General features: G+C 36.3%; 1 protein-coding gene across 1 annotated transcript; it reads left to right on the top strand.

Annotated features, from left to right (window-relative positions):
- On the top strand, nt 1–5,256 carry IL2 (interleukin 2). The gene is made up of 4 exons (NM_000586.4): nt 1–432; nt 523–582; nt 2,873–3,016; nt 4,864–5,256. The coding sequence occupies exons 1-4, from the start codon at nt 286–288 to the stop codon at nt 4,972–4,974; spliced, it is 462 nt and encodes a 153-aa protein (NP_000577.2). The 5' UTR covers nt 1–285; the 3' UTR covers nt 4,975–5,256.

The raw sequence follows: 22,219 nt of genomic DNA, 5'->3' as shown, positions 1-22,219 counted from the left end.
CTATCACCTAAGTGTGGGCTAATGTAACAAAGAGGGATTTCACCTACATCCATTCAGTCAGTCTTTGGGGGTTTAAAGAAATTCCAAAGAGTCATCAGAAGAGGAAAAATGAAGGTAATGTTTTTTCAGACAGGTAAAGTCTTTGAAAATATGTGTAATATGTAAAACATTTTGACACCCCCATAATATTTTTCCAGAATTAACAGTATAAATTGCATCTCTTGTTCAAGAGTTCCCTATCACTCTCTTTAATCACTACTCACAGTAACCTCAACTCCTGCCACAATGTACAGGATGCAACTCCTGTCTTGCATTGCACTAAGTCTTGCACTTGTCACAAACAGTGCACCTACTTCAAGTTCTACAAAGAAAACACAGCTACAACTGGAGCATTTACTGCTGGATTTACAGATGATTTTGAATGGAATTAATGTAAGTATATTTCCTTTCTTACTAAAATTATTACATTTAGTAATCTAGCTGGAGATCATTTCTTAATAACAATGCATTATACTTTCTTAGAATTACAAGAATCCCAAACTCACCAGGATGCTCACATTTAAGTTTTACATGCCCAAGAAGGTAAGTACAATATTTTATGTTCAATTTCTGTTTTAATAAAATTCAAAGTAATATGAAAATTTGCACAGATGGGACTAATAGCAGCTCATCTGAGGTAAAGAGTAACTTTAATTTGTTTTTTTGAAAACCCAAGTTTGATAATGAAGCCTCTATTAAAACAGTTTTACCTATATTTTTAATATATATTTGTGTGTTGGTGGGGGTGGGAAGAAAACATAAAAATAATATTCTCACTTTATCGATAAGACAATTCTAAACAAAAATGTTCATTTATGGTTTCATTTAAAAATGTAAAACTCTAAAATATTTGATTATGTCATTTTAGTATGTAAAATACCAAAATCTATTTCCAAGGAGCCCACTTTTAAAAATCTTTTCTTGTTTTAGGAAAGGTTTCTAAGTGAGAGGCAGCATAACACTAATAGCACAGAGTCTGGGGCCAGATATCTGAAGTGAAATCTCAGCTCTGCCATGTCCTAGCTTTCATGATCTTTGGCAAATTACCTACTCTGTTTGTGATTCAGTTTCATGTCTACTTAAATGAATAACTGTATATACTTAATATGGCTTTGTGAGAATTAGTAAGTAAATGTAAAGCACTCAGAACCGTGTCTGGCATAAGGTAAATACCATACAAGCATTAGCTATTATTAGTAGTATTAAAGATAAAATTTTCACTGAGAAATACAAAGTAAAATTTTGGACTTTATCTTTTTACCAATAGAACTTGAGATTTATAATGCTATATGACTTATTTTCCAAGATTAAAAGCTTCATTAGGTTGTTTTTGGATTCAGATAGAGCATAAGCATAATCATCCAAGCTCCTAGGCTACATTAGGTGTGTAAAGCTACCTAGTAGCTGTGCCAGTTAAGAGAGAATGAACAAAATCTGGTGCCAGAAAGAGCTTGTGCCAGGGTGAATCCAAGCCCAGAAAATAATAGGATTTAAGGGGACACAGATGCAATCCCATTGACTCAAATTCTATTAATTCAAGAGAAATCTGCTTCTAACTACCCTTCTGAAAGATGTAAAGGAGACAGCTTACAGATGTTACTCTAGTTTAATCAGAGCCACATAATGCAACTCCAGCAACATAAAGATACTAGATGCTGTTTTCTGAAGAAAATTTCTCCACATTGTTCATGCCAAAAACTTAAACCCGAATTTGTAGAATTTGTAGTGGTGAATTGAAAGCGCAATAGATGGACATATCAGGGGATTGGTATTGTCTTGACCTACCTTTCCCACTAAAGAGTGTTAGAAAGATGAGATTATGTGCATAATTTAGGGGGTGGTAGAATTCATGGAAATCTAAGTTTGAAACCAAAAGTAATGATAAACTCTATTCATTTGTTCATTTAACCCTCATTGCACATTTACAAAAGATTTTAGAAACTAATAAAAATATTTGATTCCAAGGATGCTATGTTAATGCTATAATGAGAAAGAAATGAAATCTAATTCTGGCTCTACCTACTTATGTGGTCAAATTCTGAGATTTAGTGTGCTTATTTATAAAGTGGAGATGATACTTCACTGCCTACTTCAAAAGATGACTGTGAGAAGTAAATGGGCCTATTTTGGAGAAAATTCTTTTAAATTGTAATATACCATAGAAATATGAAATATTATATATAATATAGAATCAAGAGGCCTGTCCAAAAGTCCTCCCAAAGTATTATAATTTTTTATTTCACTGGGACAAACATTTTTAAAATGCATCTTAATGTAGTGATTGTAGAAAAGTAAAAATTTAAGACATATTTAAAAATGTGTCTTGCTCAAGGCTATATTGAGAGCCACTACTACATGATTATTGTTACCTAGTGTAAAATGTTGGGATTGTGATAGATGGCATCCAAGAGTTCCTTCTCTCTCAACATTCTGTGATTCTTAACTCTTAGACTATCAAATATTATAATCATAGAATGTGATTTTTATGCTTCCACATTCTAACTCATCTGGTTCTAATGATTTTCTATGCAGATTGGAAAAGTAATCAGCCTACATCTGTAATAGGCATTTAGATGCAGAAAGTCTAACATTTTGCAAAGCCAAATTAAGCTAAAACCAGTGAGTCAACTATCACTTAACGCTAGTCATAGGTACTTGAGCCCTAGTTTTTCCAGTTTTATAATGTAAACTCTACTGGTCCATCTTTACAGTGACATTGAGAACAGAGAGAATGGTAAAAACTACATACTGCTACTCCAAATAAAATAAATTGGAAATTAATTTCTGATTCTGACCTCTATGTAAACTGAGCTGATGATAATTATTATTCTAGGCCACAGAACTGAAACATCTTCAGTGTCTAGAAGAAGAACTCAAACCTCTGGAGGAAGTGCTAAATTTAGCTCAAAGCAAAAACTTTCACTTAAGACCCAGGGACTTAATCAGCAATATCAACGTAATAGTTCTGGAACTAAAGGTAAGGCATTACTTTATTTGCTCTCCTGGAAATAAAAAAAAAAAAGTAGGGGGAAAAGTACCACATTTTAAAGTGACATAACATTTTTGGTATTTGTAAAGTACCCATGCATGTAATTAGCCTACATTTTAAGTACACTGTGAACATGAATCATTTCTAATGTTAAATGATTAACTGGGGAGTATAAGCTACTGAGTTTGCACCTACCATCTACTAATGGACAAGCCTCATCCCAAACTCCATCACCTTTCATATTAACACAAAACTGGGAGTGAGAGAAGGTACTGAGTTGAGTTTCACAGAAAGCAGGCAGATTTTACTATATATTTTTCAATTCCTTCAGATCATTTACTGGAATAGCCAATACTGATTACCTGAAAGGCTTTTCAAATGGTGTTTCCTTATCATTTGATGGAAGGACTACCCATAAGAGATTTGTCTTAAAAAAAAAAACTGGAGCCATTAAAATGGCCAGTGGACTAAACAAACAACAATCTTTTTAGAGGCAATCCCCACTTTCAGAATCTTAAGTATTTTTAAATGCACAGGAAGCATAAAATATGCAAGGGACTCAGGTGATGTAAAAGAGATTCACTTTTGTCTTTTTATATCCCGTCTCCTAAGGTATAAAATTCATGAGTTAATAGGTATCCTAAATAAGCAGCATAAGTATAGTAGTAAAAGACATTCCTAAAAGTAACTCCAGTTGTGTCCAAATGAATCACTTATTAGTGGACTGTTTCAGTTGAATTAAAAAAATACATTGAGATCAATGTCATCTAGACATTGACAGATTCAGTTCCTTATCTATGGCAAGAGTTTTACTCTAAAATAATTAACATCAGAAAACTCATTCTTAACTCTTGATACAAATTTAAGACAAAACCATGCAAAAATCTGAAAACTGTGTTTCAAAAGCCAAACACTTTTTAAAATAAAAAAATCCCAAGATATGACAATATTTAAACAATTATGCTTAAGAGGATACAGAACACTGCAACAGTTTTTTAAAAGAGAATACTTATTTAAAGGGAACACTCTATCTCACCTGCTTTTGTTCCCAGGGTAGGAATCACTTCAAATTTGAAAAGCTCTCTTTTAAATCTCACTATATATCAAAATATTTCCTCCTTAGCTTATCAACTAGAGGAAGCGTTTAAATAGCTCCTTTCAGCAGAGAAGCCTAATTTCTAAAAAGCCAGTCCACAGAACAAAATTTCTAATGTTTAAACTTTTAAAAGTTGGCAAATTCACCTGCATTGATACTATGATGGGGTAGGGATAGGTGTAAGTATTTATGAAGATGTTCTTCACACAAATTTATCCCAAACAGAAGCATGTCCTAGCTTACTCTAGTGTAGTTCTGTTCTGCTTTGGGGAAAATATAAGGAGATTCACTTAAGTAGAAAAATAGGAGACTCTAATCAAGATTTAGAAAAGAAGAAAGTATAATGTGCATATCAATTCATACATTTAACTTACACAAATATAGGTGTACATTCAGAGGAAAAGCGATCAAGTTTATTTCACATCCAGCATTTAATATTTGTCTAGATCTATTTTTATTTAAATCTTTATTTGCACCCAATTTAGGGAAAAAATTTTTGTGTTCATTGACTGAATTAACAAATGAGGAAAATCTCAGCTTCTGTGTTACTATCATTTGGTATCATAACAAAATATGTAATTTTGGCATTCATTTTGATCATTTCAAGAAAATGTGAATAATTAATATGTTTGGTAAGCTTGAAAATAAAGGCAACAGGCCTATAAGACTTCAATTGGGAATAACTGTATATAAGGTAAACTACTCTGTACTTTAAAAAATTAACATTTTTCTTTTATAGGGATCTGAAACAACATTCATGTGTGAATATGCTGATGAGACAGCAACCATTGTAGAATTTCTGAACAGATGGATTACCTTTTGTCAAAGCATCATCTCAACACTGACTTGATAATTAAGTGCTTCCCACTTAAAACATATCAGGCCTTCTATTTATTTAAATATTTAAATTTTATATTTATTGTTGAATGTATGGTTTGCTACCTATTGTAACTATTATTCTTAATCTTAAAACTATAAATATGGATCTTTTATGATTCTTTTTGTAAGCCCTAGGGGCTCTAAAATGGTTTCACTTATTTATCCCAAAATATTTATTATTATGTTGAATGTTAAATATAGTATCTATGTAGATTGGTTAGTAAAACTATTTAATAAATTTGATAAATATAAACAAGCCTGGATATTTGTTATTTTGGAAACAGCACAGAGTAAGCATTTAAATATTTCTTAGTTACTTGTGTGAACTGTAGGATGGTTAAAATGCTTACAAAAGTCACTCTTTCTCTGAAGAAATATGTAGAACAGAGATGTAGACTTCTCAAAAGCCCTTGCTTTGTCCTTTCAAGGGCTGATCAGACCCTTAGTTCTGGCATCTCTTAGCAGATTATATTTTCCTTCTTCTTAAAATGCCAAACACAAACACTCTTGAAACTCTTCATAGATTTGGTGTGGCTATGAATTCTCCAATATCTTACACCCTGCCCAGTGCTGTGAGGAGGCTCACCTGTATGGCCTATATCAAAGGTCTTCCCTGCCCTTTGGCTTTCCATTGGGTCCTGCCACTGGGGAGTGCTGGTAGGAACTATGAGGAACATAAGAGATTCCCTTGACTCCCTCCTTGTGGAGTAGACCCAGGATGGCTGTGTCTCTCAAGCAAGGAACCCAGATTACCTCAAGGTGGCACTCTGGGTACTTTTTCCTTCTGAGTGATTCTGGTAATCTTCCCTTGTCCCTTTAAGCCTAGGGAGGGTGGTACTTTTGCTGTTAGCAACTCCAGGGTACTTGTACCATCCCTTGCAGTTTCCCTGAACTCTGACCATAGCTTTTTAAATAGTCCTTTTATTAAATCCTCCTTTTGATTGAGTATGCCATCTATTTCCTGCTGGGACTCAGATACAGTAATTGTATCAGAAATAGCCCCAGAAAATAGACCCTCAAAATAGGATTCTGGGACTGGGTTGTTCATATATTCAAGGAATGCAAGGATAATAGGACATGGGAAATCTACGGAATGTAGTAGCATCGCAATTACTGAACTTATCATCAATGGTAGAATGGGATGAAATGCAGACAGATGGCAAGATGTTGTGAGGTCAAATGGCTGTGGCACTTAGTTGCTACAGAAACAACAGTTATAAAAATTATGATTATTACCTAGATTCTTTTGATGATGATGACCCCAGACAGAGAACAAAGGAAAAAAAAAGTTATCAACATACAATTAAAAACATACATGGGCAACCAGAATGCCTCTTCAGCAGCTTTGAAGAAGTCGTTCCTCTCTTCAAAATTGCCAAGGAGTAGAAGTAAAAGGGACCCTTCTCATTAAATACCTCACTTGGAAGATTTTTTTTTCACATCTCATCCACTAAATCTTATCTTGGTCAGTTTTAAGGTCTTAGTGCTCAATGAGGCATTCTTCTACCAGGTGCCTTGACTTCTACCAGAGAACTGATGAAATGGCTGAGACTACCTTTTGGCCATTTAGGGGTTCTTCATATAGCTGAACCAACAAGCACGTAAAGGACCACCGTACTGAGCAGGGTGACTGATTTTGATGAAAAGGGGGAAACTCAGTGCCTTCTATAGAACCGGGCAACGACTACACAATAGGTAATACTATATTTGGAACTCAGGAAATTCAGTGGGGAATCTCTTAGCTTTCTATCCTTAGTAGTATTGGTCAATGGAAAACTGTAACAATCCTTAAAATTCAAGAACATCAAAGACTCAGATTTCACAGAAGTGAGATATAGAGTATACCACCAGGTAAATAATGCCACCCAACCAAAGTAATGGCAGAGGGTAAAGGGGAACACGCAAAGGGTAGTGGAAGAATGCAGCTGTACTAACCAATTTTCATGACTAGCTATTGAGGCAGAGAACAGACTTGAGCAGTTTTGTTTTTCTCCATTTTTTATACTTTACTATGTCAAGTTGGACTTGACATCGTCTCTTATTCTTTATGTGAAGAACACTGGTGATACCTAACATTTTAGATTTCAGGAAAAGTATTGCTGAATTGACATTACCCTATAATGATACAATAACTGATGGGATTTCATGTGTCTCCTTTGCTAGGAACACAAACCTTCTTCCCAAAGGAAGGAAGAGAGCACATGCTGAGGAATGAAGGTGTGAACCGTGTATCTTCTACTTTTCCCTCAAAAACAACACTATATCCTTTTCCATCCTGATCTTCAGCCTGCTAAGTCAAATTGTGTGGAATACATTAATGTATTTTCTTGCCTTCTGGTTTCTAGCTGAGTTTGACCACATGGGATTCCTGGTAAGAGGTGAATGTGAGATCACCATGGGATAGCTGTATCACTTGACCAAAGATGAAATTCCCCTCAAAGTTGCCTTTTATTACCTATCTTTCAAGGTTCTAGTACCTACTCCTCTATACTTCTCTTCAGGCCTAGGTGCAGTAGCTGTTTCCCTGTGTGATGAAAGCAACCAATACAGGCAGGTCTTGCAGGTTTCAGTCCTCAAAAGAAGGAATGCACACAACAGACATTATTGCTTTTTCCTGAGGGCATTTTCCAAATTGTGACATAAGAAAATGGAACCCAAGAATGAAGGAATGAAGTGGCAGTCCTATGAGGAGTTAAGAGGCAGGAGTAGTTGAGGGTTGTCAAAGTAGATGGAATTTAAGTGACAAAACCCCATAAAGGAATGACCTGCAGGGAAGGAACCCATGTATCTACATATAAATTCCCCTCAGTTCACTGGCTGATCCATCAGCTGCTTATGGAATATAAGACACTTCCCAACCACCAAAAGATATGGCAGAAAACAGCAGGTAGGAGGCAAATAAGCTGTATCGTGCTGAGAAGACACAGGTTGGAGCCAAAGCCCTGCCATGGAGAAAGGGTCTAGTAAACATGACAGGATTTAAGAAAAAAAAAAAAAAAAAAAAAAAAAAGCCAAGGCTCTAGGTGAACATGTCTTGGAATAAGGACAAATCTGAAATATACCAGCCCTAACAAAGACTAAAAACAAGCTTCAATAAGATCAAATGAATATTCTAGATTCTATTTGTCTTCTGAAGACAGCTTAATCTAATTTAGATAAAAATAACATCATCCAGAGCCTCTACACTATTTCAGACACATGTAGCATCAGCTTAAAAATTATGAAACCTACTGGCTAACACGTGAAACCTTGTCACTACCAAAAATACAAAAAAAAAAAATTAGCTGAGTGTGGTGGCGGGCGCCTGTAGTCCCAGCTACTCAGGAGGCTGAGGCAGGAGAATGGCGTGAACCTGGTAGGCAGAGCTTGCAGTGAGCCAAGATCGTGCCATTGCACTCCAGCCTGGGTGACAGAGCAAGACTCCATCTCAAAAAAAAAAAAAAAAAAAAAAAAAAAAAAAGAGACCTGCTAACACACACACACACACACACACACTCTCTCTCTCTCTCTCTCTCTCTCTCTCTCTCTCTCTCTCTCTCTCTCTCTCTCTCAAAATTAAGTTGGGCGGCAAGGGGAAACAATAAACATCTCCAACATAGGATTCAAGTGTAGTTATAAGATACAGACTTTAACTAATATAATATGTTCAAGAAAATAAAGCATCATATCTAGACAATAGATGAAAAGATAAATTTTTGCCAAAAATTGAATTATATTTTTACAAATTAAAGGAACATTCCAGAACTAAAAAAATACCATGTGTGAAATCAAGAAATCACTAGGTGTGCTTAACGGCATACTGGATGTAGCAAAAGACTGTATTAATGATCTACAGATAAGACAATAAAAAATATCCAAACAGAAAAAAAGATATATATATAAAAAAAGAACATAGTAACACAGAGGTAATTAGAGTCATTAAAAAAAGAAAAAACAAGAGGAGAGGAAAGAAGGAATGGTGAAGATGTAATGGCTGATAATTTTCATAACCAAATGAAAAGACATCTACCTACATATTAAAGGTTGGTAAAACCCAAGCAGAATAAACACAAAACAACAACAGCAAAACACACTCACAGACAACCCTCAGATCCATACACAGGCAAATCACAATTAAACTGCTGAAAAGTAAAGATAAAAGGCAGCTAACTGAAAAAAGGCACTGCCTTCACAAAGCAACAATATATTCGTCAGCAAATATTTCAGCAAAATCTATGAAAGTTGGGAAAACAATGGAATGACATACTTAATTAAAAAAAACTTGGCAAACTAGAATTCTGCACCATAATTCCTTAGAAAAGGTAAAACAGACACTTCAGCCAACAAAAGCTAAGAAAGCTGAGCAAAAGCAGACTGGAACCGTAAGAAGTACTGAAGAAATAACTAAATAATTTTAGGCTGGAGAAAAAAATCCAAATGAAGCACAGGTGTGCAAAAACAAAACAAAAGAGTACCATATAGTATAGATAGAAAGTTACTAGTTAAGGAGACAATAGGTCTTGGGGCATTTTAACATATGCACAATTAAAATATTTGACAAAATATATAAGGGCAAAAGGTGATAAATGGCATTAAAATGTTGCAGGATCCTTGCATTACTTGGGAAGTGTTAAACTAATGAATTTAAGATAGACTGCAATAAGTCAAAGCTGCATGTTATAATCTAAGGTAACTTCTAAAAGAATAATACATGTTGAGTATCCCTTATCTGAAATCTTGGGACCAGAGGTGTTTTAAATTTTGGATTATTTTGGATTTTTGAATATTTGCATTATATTTACTACTTAAGCATCCCTAAACTGAAATCCAAAATGCTCAGATGAGTATTTCCTTTGAGCATGATCTTTGAGCATCATGTCAGAGCTCAAAATGTTTTGGATTTTGGAGCATTTTGCATTTTGAATTTTTGGATTAGGGATGTTCAACCTGTATAAATGAAAAGCAATAAAGAAGAAAATGTAATATAATACTAATAATCCTAAAATAAGGCAAGAAAGAATGAAGAGAGGAATAAAGGTGAAAAAAGCAAAACACCCACAATGAGACAGAAACAAATAGCAAGAAGGCAGACTTAAACCAAACTCTATGTCATTGTCATTAAATACAAATGAACTACAAACTCCAATTAAAAAAAAGATTGTAAGATGAAATAAAAATCAAACCCAATTATACACTGTTTATAAAAAACATATTTTAAATAAAAGGAAAAAGATTAAAAGAAAAAGGAAAAGGGAATATAATGTGCAAACACTAACCAAAAACCAAAACCAAAAACCAGAGGTAGGCAGATTAACAACACGATGAAAAAAACAGACTTTAAAGCAAGAATTATATAACCAGAGATAAAGAGAAATTTCATTCAACAGTACATACCAATTCCAAATTTAATTTGTTTTACTATTAAACTAAGTTTTACAAAATTCTAAATTTAAAGCTAAATTAAATTCTAAATTAAATTTAGAATTGGTATGTATTGCTGAACAAAATATATAGCTTCAAAATATAAAGACCAAGACTTCTGCCTTGATAAGCAGTCTGAAGTCGACCTGGGATGCTCGAGCTTGGTCAGGGGAGGGACGTCCACCATTACTGAGTCTTGAGTAGGCGGTTTTCCCCTCACAGTGTAAACAAAGCCACCGGGAAGTTCCACCCGGGCAGAGCCCTCCACATCTCAGCAAAGCCACTGTAGACAGACTGCTTCTCTAGATTCCTCCACTTTGGGCAGGGCATCTCTGAAAAAAAGGCAGCAGCCCCAGTTAGGGGCTTATAGATAAAACTCCCATCTTCCTGGGAAAGAGCATCAAGGGGAAGCGGCGGCTGTGGGCACGGCTTCGGCAGATTTAAATGTCCCTGCCTGCTGGCTCTGTACAGTGGATCTCCCAGCACAGTGCTCGACCTCTAAGGGTCAGACTGCCTCCTCAAGTGGGCCCCTGACCCCCATGTCTCCTGACTAGAAGACACCTCCCAGCAGGGACCAACAGACACCTCATATGGGAGAGCTCCAGCTGGCATCTGGTGGGTGCCCCACTGGGAAAAAGCTTCCAGAGGAAGGAACAGGCAGCAATCTTTGTTGTTCTGCAGCCTCTGCTGGTGATACCCAGGCAAACAGGGTCTGGGGTGGACCTCCAGCAAACTCCAGCAGACCTGCAGCAGAGGGGCCTGACTGTTAGAAGGAGATCTAACAAACAGAAAGGGATAGCATCAACATTAACAAAAAGGACATCCACTCAGAAACCCCATCCGAAGGTCACCAACATCAAAGACCAAAGGTAGACAAATCCACGAAGATGGGGAGAAACCAGCGCAAAAACACTGACAACTCCAAAAACCAGAATGCCTCTTCTCCAAAAAAAATCACAACTTCTTGCCAGCAAGGGAACAAAACTGGACGGAGAATGAGTTTGACGAACTGACAGAAGTAGGCTTCAGAAGATGGGTAATAACAAACTCCTCCAAGCTAAAGGAGCATATTCCAACCCAATGGAAGGAAGCTAAGGACCTTGAAAAAAGGTTAGAGGAATTTCTAACTAGAATAATAACCAGTTTAGAGAAGAACATATGACCTGATGGAGCAGAAAAACACAGCATGAGAACTTCGTGAAGCATACACATTCGTGAAGTATTAATAGCCAAATCAGTCAAGCAGAAGAAAGGATATCAGAGATTAAGATCAACTTAATGAAATAAAGTGTGAAGACAGATTAGAGGGAAAAAAAAGGAATGAACAAAGCCTCTAAGAAATACGGGACTATGTGAAAAGATAAAACCTACATTTTATTGGTGTACCTGAAAGTGACAGGGAGAATGAAACCAAGTTGGAAAATACTCTGCAGGATATTATCCAGGAGAACTTTCCCAATCTAGGAAGACAGGCCAACATTCAAATTCAGGAAATACAGAGAACACCACAAAGATACTCCTCGAGAAGAGCAACCCCAAGACACATAATCGTCAGATTCACCAAGGTTGAAATGAAGGAAAAAATGTTAAGGGCAGCCAGAGAGAAAGATCGGGTTACCCACAAAGGGAAGCCCATCAGACTAACAGCATTATCTCTCGGCAGAAAACCTACAAGCCAGAAGAGAGTGGGGGCCAATATTCAACATTCTTAAAGAATTTTCAACCCAGAATTTCATATCCAGCCAAACTAAGCTTCCTAAGGGAAGGACAAATAAAATCCTTTATAGACAAGCAAATGCCGAGAGATTTTGTCACCACCAGGCCTGCCTTAAAAGACCTCCTGAAGGAAGCACTAAACATAGAAAGGAATAACAGCTACCAGCCACTGCAAAAACATAGCAAATTGTAAAGACCATCGACACTATGAAGAAACTGCATCAACTAACAGGCAAAATAACCAGCTAGCATCATAATGACAGGATCAAATTCACATGTAACAATATTAACCTTAAATGTAAACAGGCTAAATGCTCCAATTAAAAGACACAGACTGGCAAACTGGATAGAGTCAAGACCCACTGGTGTGCTGTATTCAAGAGACCAATCTCACGTGCAAACACACATAGGCTTAAAATAAACGGATGGAGGAATATTTACCAAGTAAATGGAAAGCAAAAAAAAAAAAAAAAAAAGCAGAGGTTGGAATCCTAGTCTCTGATAAAACTGACTTTAAACCAACAAGGATCAAAAGAGACAAAGAATGACATTACATAATGGTAAAGGGATCAATGCAACAAGAAGAGCTAACTATCCTAAATATATATGCACCCAATACAAGAGCACCCAGATTCATAAAGCAAGTTCTTAGACTCCCATACAAAAATAGTGGGAGACTTTAACACCCCATTGTCAATATTAGACAGATCAACAAGACAGAAAATTAACAAGGATATTCAGGGCTTGAACTCACCTGTGGACCAAGTGGACCTAACAGACATCTATAGAACTCTCCACCCCAAATCAACAGAATATACGTTCTTCTCAGCACCACATTGCACTTATTCTAAAATTGACCACGTAATTGGAAGTAAAACACTCCTGAGCAAATGCAAAAGAATGGAAATCATAGCAAACAGTCTCTCAGACCACAGTGCAACCAAATTAGAAGTCAGGATTAAGAAACTCACTCAAAACCTCACAACTACATGGAAACTGAACAACCTGCTCCTGAAGGACTACTGGGTAAATAACAAAATTAAGGCAGAAATAAGTAAGTTCTTTGAAACCAATGAGAACAAAGACATAACATAGCAGAATCTCTGGGACACATTTAAAGCAGTGTGTAGAGGGGAATTTATAGCACTAAATGCCCACAAGACAAGGTAGGAAAGATAGTAAATCAACACCCTAACATTACAATTAAAAGAGCTAGAGAAGCATGAGCAAACAAATCCAAAAGCTAGCAGAAGACAAGAAATAACTAAGATCAGAGCAGAACTGAAGGAGATAGAGACATGAAAAACCCTTCAAAAGAAATCAATGAATCCAGGAGCTTGTTTTTTGAAAAGATCAACAAAATAGACCACTAGCCAGACTAACAAAGAAGAAAAGAGAGAAGAATCAAATGGACACAATAAAAAATGATAAAGGGAATATCACCACTGATCCCAGAGAAATACAAACTATCATCAGAGAATACTATAAACACTTCTATGCAAATAAACTAGAAAATCTAGAAGAAATGGATAAATTCCTCGACACATACACCCTCCCAAGTCTAAGCCAGGAAGAAGTTGAATCCCTGAATAGACCAATAACAAGTTCTGAAATTTAGGTAATAATTAATATCCTACGAACAAAAAAAAGTCTAGGACCAGATGAACTCACAGCCAAACTACCAGAGGTACAAAGAGGAGCTGGAAGCATTCCTTCTGAAACTATTCCAAACAACAGAAAAAGAGGAAATCCTCCCTCACTCATTTTATAAGGCCAGCATCATCCTGATACCAAAACCTGGCAGAGACACAAGAAAAAAAGAAAATTTCAGGCCAATATCCCTGATGAACATTGATGCGAAAATCCTCAATAAAATACTGGCAAACTGAATCCAGCAGCACATCAAAAAGCTTATCCACCACGATCAAGTCGGCTTCATCCCTGGGATGCAAGGCTGGTTCAACATAAGCAAATCAATAAACATAATCCATCACATAAACAGAACCAATGACAAAAACCACAGGATTATCTCAAAAGATGCAGAAAAGGCCTTTGACAAAATTCAACACCCCTTCATGCTAAAAACTCTCAATAAACTAGGTACTGATGGACCATATCTCAAAATACACTACTTCTGACAAACCCACAGCCAATATCATACAAAATGAACAAAAATTCCCTTTAAAAACTGCCACAAGACAAGGATGCCCTCTCTCACCACTGCAATTCAACATAGTATTGGAAGTTCTGGCCAGGACAATCAGGCAAGAGAAAGAAATAAAGGTTATTCAGATAGGAAGAGAGGAAGTCAAATTGTCCCTGTTTGCAGATGACATGATTGTATATTTAGAAAACCCCATTATCTCAGCCCAAAATCTCCTTAACCTGATAAGCAACTTCAGCAAAGTCTCAGGATACAAAAATCAATATGCAAACATCACAAGTATTCATATACACCAATAACAGACAAACAGCCAAATCATGAGTGAACTCACAGTCGCAATTGCTACAAAGAGAATAAAATACCTAGGAATCCAACTTACAAGGGATGTGAAGGACCTCTTCAAGGAGGACTACAAACCACTGCTCAAGGAAAGAAAAGAGGACACAAACAAATGGAAAAACATTCCATGCTCTGTTCTCACTCATAAGTGGAAGTTGAACAATGAGAACTCAGTGAGGGGAACATCACACACCAGGGCCTGTTGGGGGGTGGGGGGTTAGGGGAGGGATAGCATTAGGAGAAATACCTAATGTAGATGATAGGTTGATGGGTGCCGCAAACCGCCATGGCACACATATACCTATGTAACAAACCTGCACGTTCTGCACATGTATCCAAGAACTTAAAGTATAATAAAAAAATTAAAAAAACACACACAAACATTCCATGCTCATGGATAGGAAGAATCAGTATCGTGAAAATGGCCATACTGCCCAAAGTAATTTAGAGATTCAATGCTATCCCCGTCAAGCTACCATTTGACTTTCTTCACAGAATTAGAAAAAACTATTAAATTTCATATGGAACAAAAAAAGAGCCCGCATAGCCAAGACAATCCTAAGCAAAAAGAACAAAGCTGGAGGCATCATGCTACCTGACTTCAAACTATACTGCAATGCTACAGTAACCAAAACAGCATGGTACTGGTACAAAAACAGATATATAGACCAATGGAACAAAACAGAGGCCTCAGAAATAACACCACACATCTACAGCCATCTGATCTTTGACAAACCTGACAAAAGCAATGGGGAAAGGATTCCCTATTTAATAAATGGTGTTGGGAAAACTGGCTAGCCATATGCAGAAACCTGAAACTGGACCCCTTCCTTACACCTTATACAAAAATTAATTCAAGATGGATTAAAGACTTAAGACCTAAAACCATAAAAACCCTAGAAGAAAATCTAGGCAATACCATTCAGGACATAGGCATGGGCAAAGACTTCATGACTAAAACACCAAAAGCAATGGCAACAAAAGCCAAAATTGACAAATAGGATCTAATTAAACTAAAGAGCTTCTGCACAGCAAAAGAAACTACCATCAGAGTGAACAGGCAACCTACAGGACGGGAGAAAATTTTTGCAATCTATCCATCTGACAAAGGGCTAATATCCAGAATCTACAAAGAACTTAAACACATTTACAAGAAAAAAACAAACAACCCCACCAAAAAGTGGGCAAAGGATACGAACAGATACTTCTCAGAAGAAGACATTTATGCAGCCAACAAACATTTCAAAGAAAGCTCATCATCAATTGTCATTAGAGAAATGTGATCTAATGGTCATTAGAGAAATGTCAATCAAAACCACAATGAGATATCATCTCACTATAGTTAGAATGGTGATTTTTAAAAAGTCAGGAAACAACAGATGCTGGAGAGGATGTGGAGAAATAGGAACACTTTTACATGGTTGGTGAGAGTGTAAATTAGTTCAACCATTGTGGAAGACAGTGTGGCAATTCCTCAAGGATCTAGAACCAGAAATACCATTTGACCCAGCAATCCCATTACTGGGCATATACCCAAAGGATTATAAGTCATTCTACTATAAAGACACATGCACAGGTATGTTTATTGCGGCACTGTTCACAATAGCAAAGACTTGGAACCAACCCAAATGCCCATCAATGATAGACTGGATAAAGAAAATGTGGCACATATATACCATGGAATACTTTGCAGCCATAAAAAAGGATGAGTTCATGTCCTTTGCAGGGACATGGATGAAGCTGGAAACCATCATTCTCAGTAAACTAACACAAGAACAGAAAACCAAACACTGCATGTTCTCACTTGTAAGTGGGAGTTGAAGAATGAGAACATATGGACACAGGGAGGTGAACATCACGCACCAGGGCCTGTTGGGGGGTGGGGGGCTAGGGGAGGGAGAGCATTAGGAGAAATACCTAATGTAGATGACGGGTTGATGGGTGCAGCCAACCACCATGGCAGGTGTATACCTAACAAACCTGCACGTTCTGCACATGTACCCCAGAACTTAAAGTATAATAAAAAAGGAATAAAAAATATAACAAAGATGAAGGAATTAGTTATTACAAACATGTTCAAGATTTAAAGCAAAATCTGAACACAATGAGGGGACAAATAGTGAATCCAACAGAAAAAGGGAAACCATAAAAATTGAAAGTATAAAAAAATCTATAAAAATTAACCAATGTTCCAGAACAGAAGTTCTAGCAGTGAAAATTATATGAAATGAAAAATTAACTATATGGGCATAATAGGAGTTTAGACACTGAAGAAATAAAGACTGACTACTAGCAATCTTACACAATTTCAAAGGACAGAAAAAGAGTGGATGCTTCAAAAATCATTCTATTAGGTCAGCATAACCTTGACACCAAACTAACATTACAAAAAAAGAACAAGTATATATAGGTCAGCATCTCTCATAAACATAATGCAAAACTTTTAGTATTAAAATATTAGTAAATTTAAAATTTGCTATCTGTAAAAGATAATATATGTGACCAAACTGGAATTTATCCAGGAATGCAAGATTGATTATATGTTTCTAAAAAAATGTAACCCACTATATTAACAACAACAAAACAATGATATAGCCTACATGAATCAACGCAATTGGTGCATAAAACTCACGTTAAGAAAACACAAATTACTGGGAGGCCAAGGCAGGTGGATCACGAGGTCAGGAGTTCGAGACCAGCCTGGCCAATATGTTGACACCCCATCTCTACTAAAAATACAAAAATTAGCTGTGTGTGGTGGCACGCCTGTAGTCCCAGCTGCTCGGGAGGCTGAGGCAGGAGAATTGCTTGAACCCGGGAGGCGGAAGTTGCAGTGAGCCGAGATTGCACCACTGTACTCCAGCCTGGGTGACACAGCGAGACTCCAACTCCAAAAAAAAAAAAAAAAAAAAGAGAAAGAAAGAAAGAAAAGAGAAGAAAATAAAAATCAGTGGCACCGAGAAAAACAGAATTTTCTTAATCTGACAAAAGGTATCTACAAAAAAACGAAACCAAATACCATAACTAACATAATGATAAAATATGGAACATTTTCCCCTAGTTTGGGAGTAAGACTAAGATAAGAAGGTCCATCACCATTTCTATTCAATGGTGAAGTGTAGGTTTTATTGACTGTAGTAAGAAAAAAAAGAGATTGGAAAGGAAGAAGTACAATAATTATCACTAGTCATAGACGACATTATTGTATGAACAGGATATCTAAAAAAATCTGTAACTACAAATTATTAGAATAAGTGAATTTAGTTAAGATTAACAGTTATCAAGGTTAATATACATAAAAGTCCATTTATTTTTACATGCCATTATCAAATATACTTAAAAACAGTACCATTTGTAATAGCACAAAAAAACAAATAACTGAGAATATAATGAAATATATGCCCCTACAAAACATTACTGAAATTAAGACCTAAATAAATGGTTATATCATGTTCCTGATTTGTAATTTTCACTTTTCTTAATTCTCCCTGATCCACAGAGTGAATGCAATCTCATTCAAAATTTCAGATTTTATATAGGTGTGAGTGGTAGAGGGGAGACCATGAAACCAACAAAGTGAATCTTACATTTTTATGGCCATACAAAGACTCTAAAATAGCCAAATATACTTGAAGAAAAACAAACTGGAACGCTTATATTACCAAATATCAAGACATTATAAAGCTACATAGTAATTAAGACAGTGTAGTATTGGTATAAAGACTTGACACTGGAAAAAAGACCTATATATATAAGGTTACATCAGATGTACAACTCCAATCCAGAGGAAAAATGATGGTGTTTTCAATAAATGCCGCTATGTCAACCGGCCATATTTTTAAAAGTTCTTGAACGTTATGTCAAAAAATGAAAAATAACAAGTGTTGGTGAGCATGTGGAAAATTAGAGTCCTTGCGCATCACTTGTAGGAATGCAAAATGGTGCGGCCACTGTGGAAATCAGTTTGGCAGTTCCTCAAAAAGTTAAACAAAATTGCCATATGATTCAGCAATTCTACTCCTAGGTATATTGCCAAAAGAAATGAGAGACTTAAAGAGATACTTGCACACTCATGTTCATAGCAGCAAGATTGCCAATAGCCAAGGGGTAGAAACAACCCAAATGTCTAACAGATGAACTTTTTTTTTTTTTTCGAGACGGAGTCTCGCTCTGTCACCCAGGCTGGAGTGCAGTGGCGCAATCTCGGCTCACTGCAAGCTCTGCCTCCCAGGTTCATGCCATTCTCCTGCCTCAGCCTCCTGAGTAGCTGGGACTACAGGCGCCCGCCACCACACCCGGCTAATTTTTTGTATTTTTTAGTAGAGACGGGGTTTCACCGTGTTAGCCAGGATGGTCTCGATCTCCTGACCTCATGATCCACCCACCTTGGCCTCCCAAAGTGCTGGGATTACAGGTGTGAGCCACCGCGCCCAGCCCAGATGAACTTTTAAACAACAAAAGTGCTGTGTATCAATACAATAAAATATTATTCAGCTTTAAAAGAGGATGAAAGTTCTGACACATGCTACAAACATGGATGAACCTTGAAAATGTCATGCTAGGTAAAATAAGCCAGACACACAAAAGGACAAATATTATATTATTCCACTTAAGTGAATTATGTAGAACAAGCAAATCCATAAAACATTCAATAGACTGGAACGTCCAAGGGGCCTGGGGAAATAAGGAATGGGGAGTTACTTTCAATGGGTACAAAGTTTCTTTTTGGGATGATGAAAAACTTCTGGAAATGGAGAACACAGTGCAGTACAACATTGTGAACTTAATAATACAGAATTGTACAAAAAATGGTTAAAATAGTAAATTTTATGTCACGTATATTTTACCACAATATAAAATGCATGAATATTCATTGTAGCTGTATTTATAATAGAATAAATTGAAAACAACTCAAATGTCCCTACATGGGTGAAAGGATAAACAAACTGTGGTAATGTATATAATAGAATACTGTTCAGTAATGAAAAAGGGCAACTATGATACATACAACTTGGAATGAGCTCCAGATTATTATCCTGAGTTAAAAAAAAGCCAGTTTCCAAAGGTTATATGATTTATATAATATGGAATCTCAGCAACAAAAATATATTAAGACAACAGATCAGTGGTTGCCAGAGGTTAGGGGACAGAATTTGACTATAAAGGAGCAGCATGACAGAGTTATTCTGTGGTGATGAAACAATTCTGTACTTTGTGGTGGTAATTTTTCAAATCTACATATAAGAAAATATTTCATAAAACTATACACACAAAAAAGGAATGAATGCAAAAACTGGTGAAACCTGAGTAGGGTCTGTGGTCTTGTTAGTTATATTGTATTATGTCACTTTATTGGTTTTGATAACATAATTATGTAGCACCATTGAAGGAAGCTGGGTGCTGGGTACACAGGACCTCTCTGCAACTTCTTATGAGCCTCTGTTTCAGAATAAAACATTTTTTAAAATTCTGAGAGAAGAATAATTCCTTTACTTAAAAAAGCACACATTAAAATTGGTATCATATACATTCTTAATATTCCAGGAAGTTTTTGGATTTGCAAAATACAAGTCGGCTGGGTGCAGTGGCTCATGCCTGTAATCCCAGCACTTTGGGAGGCCGAGGTGGGTGGATCCCCTGAGGTCAGGAGTTCAAGACCAGTCTAGCCAACATGGCAAAACCCCGTCGCTACTAAAAATACAAAAATTAGGCATGATGACGGGCACCTGTAATCCCAGCTACTTGGGAGGCTGAGGCAGGGAGAATCACTTGAACCCGGGAGGCAGAGGTTGCAGTGAGCCAAGATCACGCCATTACACTCCAGTCTGGGTGACAGAGTGAGACTCTGTCTCAAAAAATAAACAAACAGACAAAAAAAAAACAAAAAAAGGAAGAAATATACAAGTCATCTAGTGCAGTTATACAGAAAGAGTACTCATTAAAAATTTAGCAGTAAATGATCAAAGAAGACAACTCGTTTGTAAGAGACTATATCTAAAGAACCCTACCAGTAAATTTAGATGTTTCTAGACATGAAAAATAGCTGTTTTTTTTTTTTGTTTTGAGACAGGGTCTCACTCTATCACCCAGGTTGGAGTACAGTGGCCAGATCATAGTTCACTGCAGCCTTGACCTCCTGGGCTCAAGTGATCCTCTCTCCTCAGCCAACTGAGTAGCTGAGACTACAAGCACGCACCACCAAGTCCAGGTAACTAAAAAATATTTTTTGGTAGAGTTGTGGTCACACCATGTTGCCTAGGTTAGTCCCGAACTCTTGAGCTCAAGGGATTCTTCCACCTTGGCCTCTCAAAATGCTAGGATTACAGGCGTGAGCCACCACACCTGGCTTGTACTTTCACTCTTGAAAATAAAAAGTTTTAATGTTTTCAATAAGTAAATATTAACTAACTTTTATAGGAAAGTCATTGCCTAGGAGGCAATAAATAAGTAAATAAATTTACAATTTTGTTAACAGTGCTAAGACATGCAAAAATGAATGTGATAAGAGAGTATAGCATAGCATGACATAGTATATGAGAGTTCAGAGGCAGAAGAAACATTTAAGAGCAGGAGATTTCAAAGACAATTTCATGGAGAAATTCTATTTCAGCTGCCCTAGAAAGGACAGAATTTGGATAAAGATGAAGTGGAAATGTTTGGTCTTGCTAAGCTAAGGGGAGAACATAAGTAAAGAGAATACAGCAAGAAATACATGATATATTCAAGAAACACAGATTTAAATTGGTTGAAGAACATAGTATTGTTAAAGAAGTGGGAAGTAGTAAATAGATTACTTGTGTAGAGTCCAAAAAAAAAAAATCATAGAATTTCCTATTGTGCAGAACACTGCAGATGCCATCAAATTTTTTCAGTTCTCAAATTCTAGTAAACTTTGACAGTTTCAGGGCTAAAATATTCAGTCTGACTTGACGTACTACCAAACTGTACTCTAAAATATCTTTCTACTAATGAAACAATGCAACAGTTGATGAAAAAAACTTACAAAGAATTAACATTTTGAACAAGTACCCGAAGATATAGCTTAAAAATTTATAAAGTCATCTGTCCAAACAAGTTACATATTAGAATGTTTCTACAATAATGAATTCCCTTTACATTACAGTCAAAGTGTAAAGCAAGACTCTGACAAGTATATTAACGCATGTAGAAAAAATAAAACTTAATTCTCAGGAAATCATTCATTTAAAAATTTTAAATAGCAACACCAACCACTGAGTAGCACACCTTTTCATTTCTACCATCATTTAACAAATGAAAATTACAGTTTCCATGAAAATAGAAAGTAATCCAGACTTAGAACACCATAGAGAAAGGCAACTCAGGCTCAGCAGAAATTTTAACACTAGAAACATGTATATTATTTCCAGGAACTAGTAACGTTTTGGTAACCAGGATGCTCCTTAACAGTATAACCATTAAGCTAAATAAAACTAAATATTTCTGACATCTATTGTAACACAAGAAGTAACAGAATAGTAAGTTGTACTTTAATTTATAGGATGCTATGAGGATCAAAAGGTTCTGAAAAGGAAATTCGCATGCTTCCTGTTTTACTTAACAATATTCTTTCTTCTTT

The sequence above is a fragment of the Homo sapiens genome, chromosome 4 (assembly GCF_000001405.40).
Source record: "Homo sapiens chromosome 4, GRCh38.p14 Primary Assembly".
In the NCBI taxonomy this organism is placed as follows: Eukaryota; Metazoa; Chordata; class Mammalia; order Primates; family Hominidae; genus Homo; species Homo sapiens.
The sequence above is the reverse complement of the archived record's forward strand: the minus strand, read 5'-3'. Positions and strand labels throughout refer to the sequence as shown.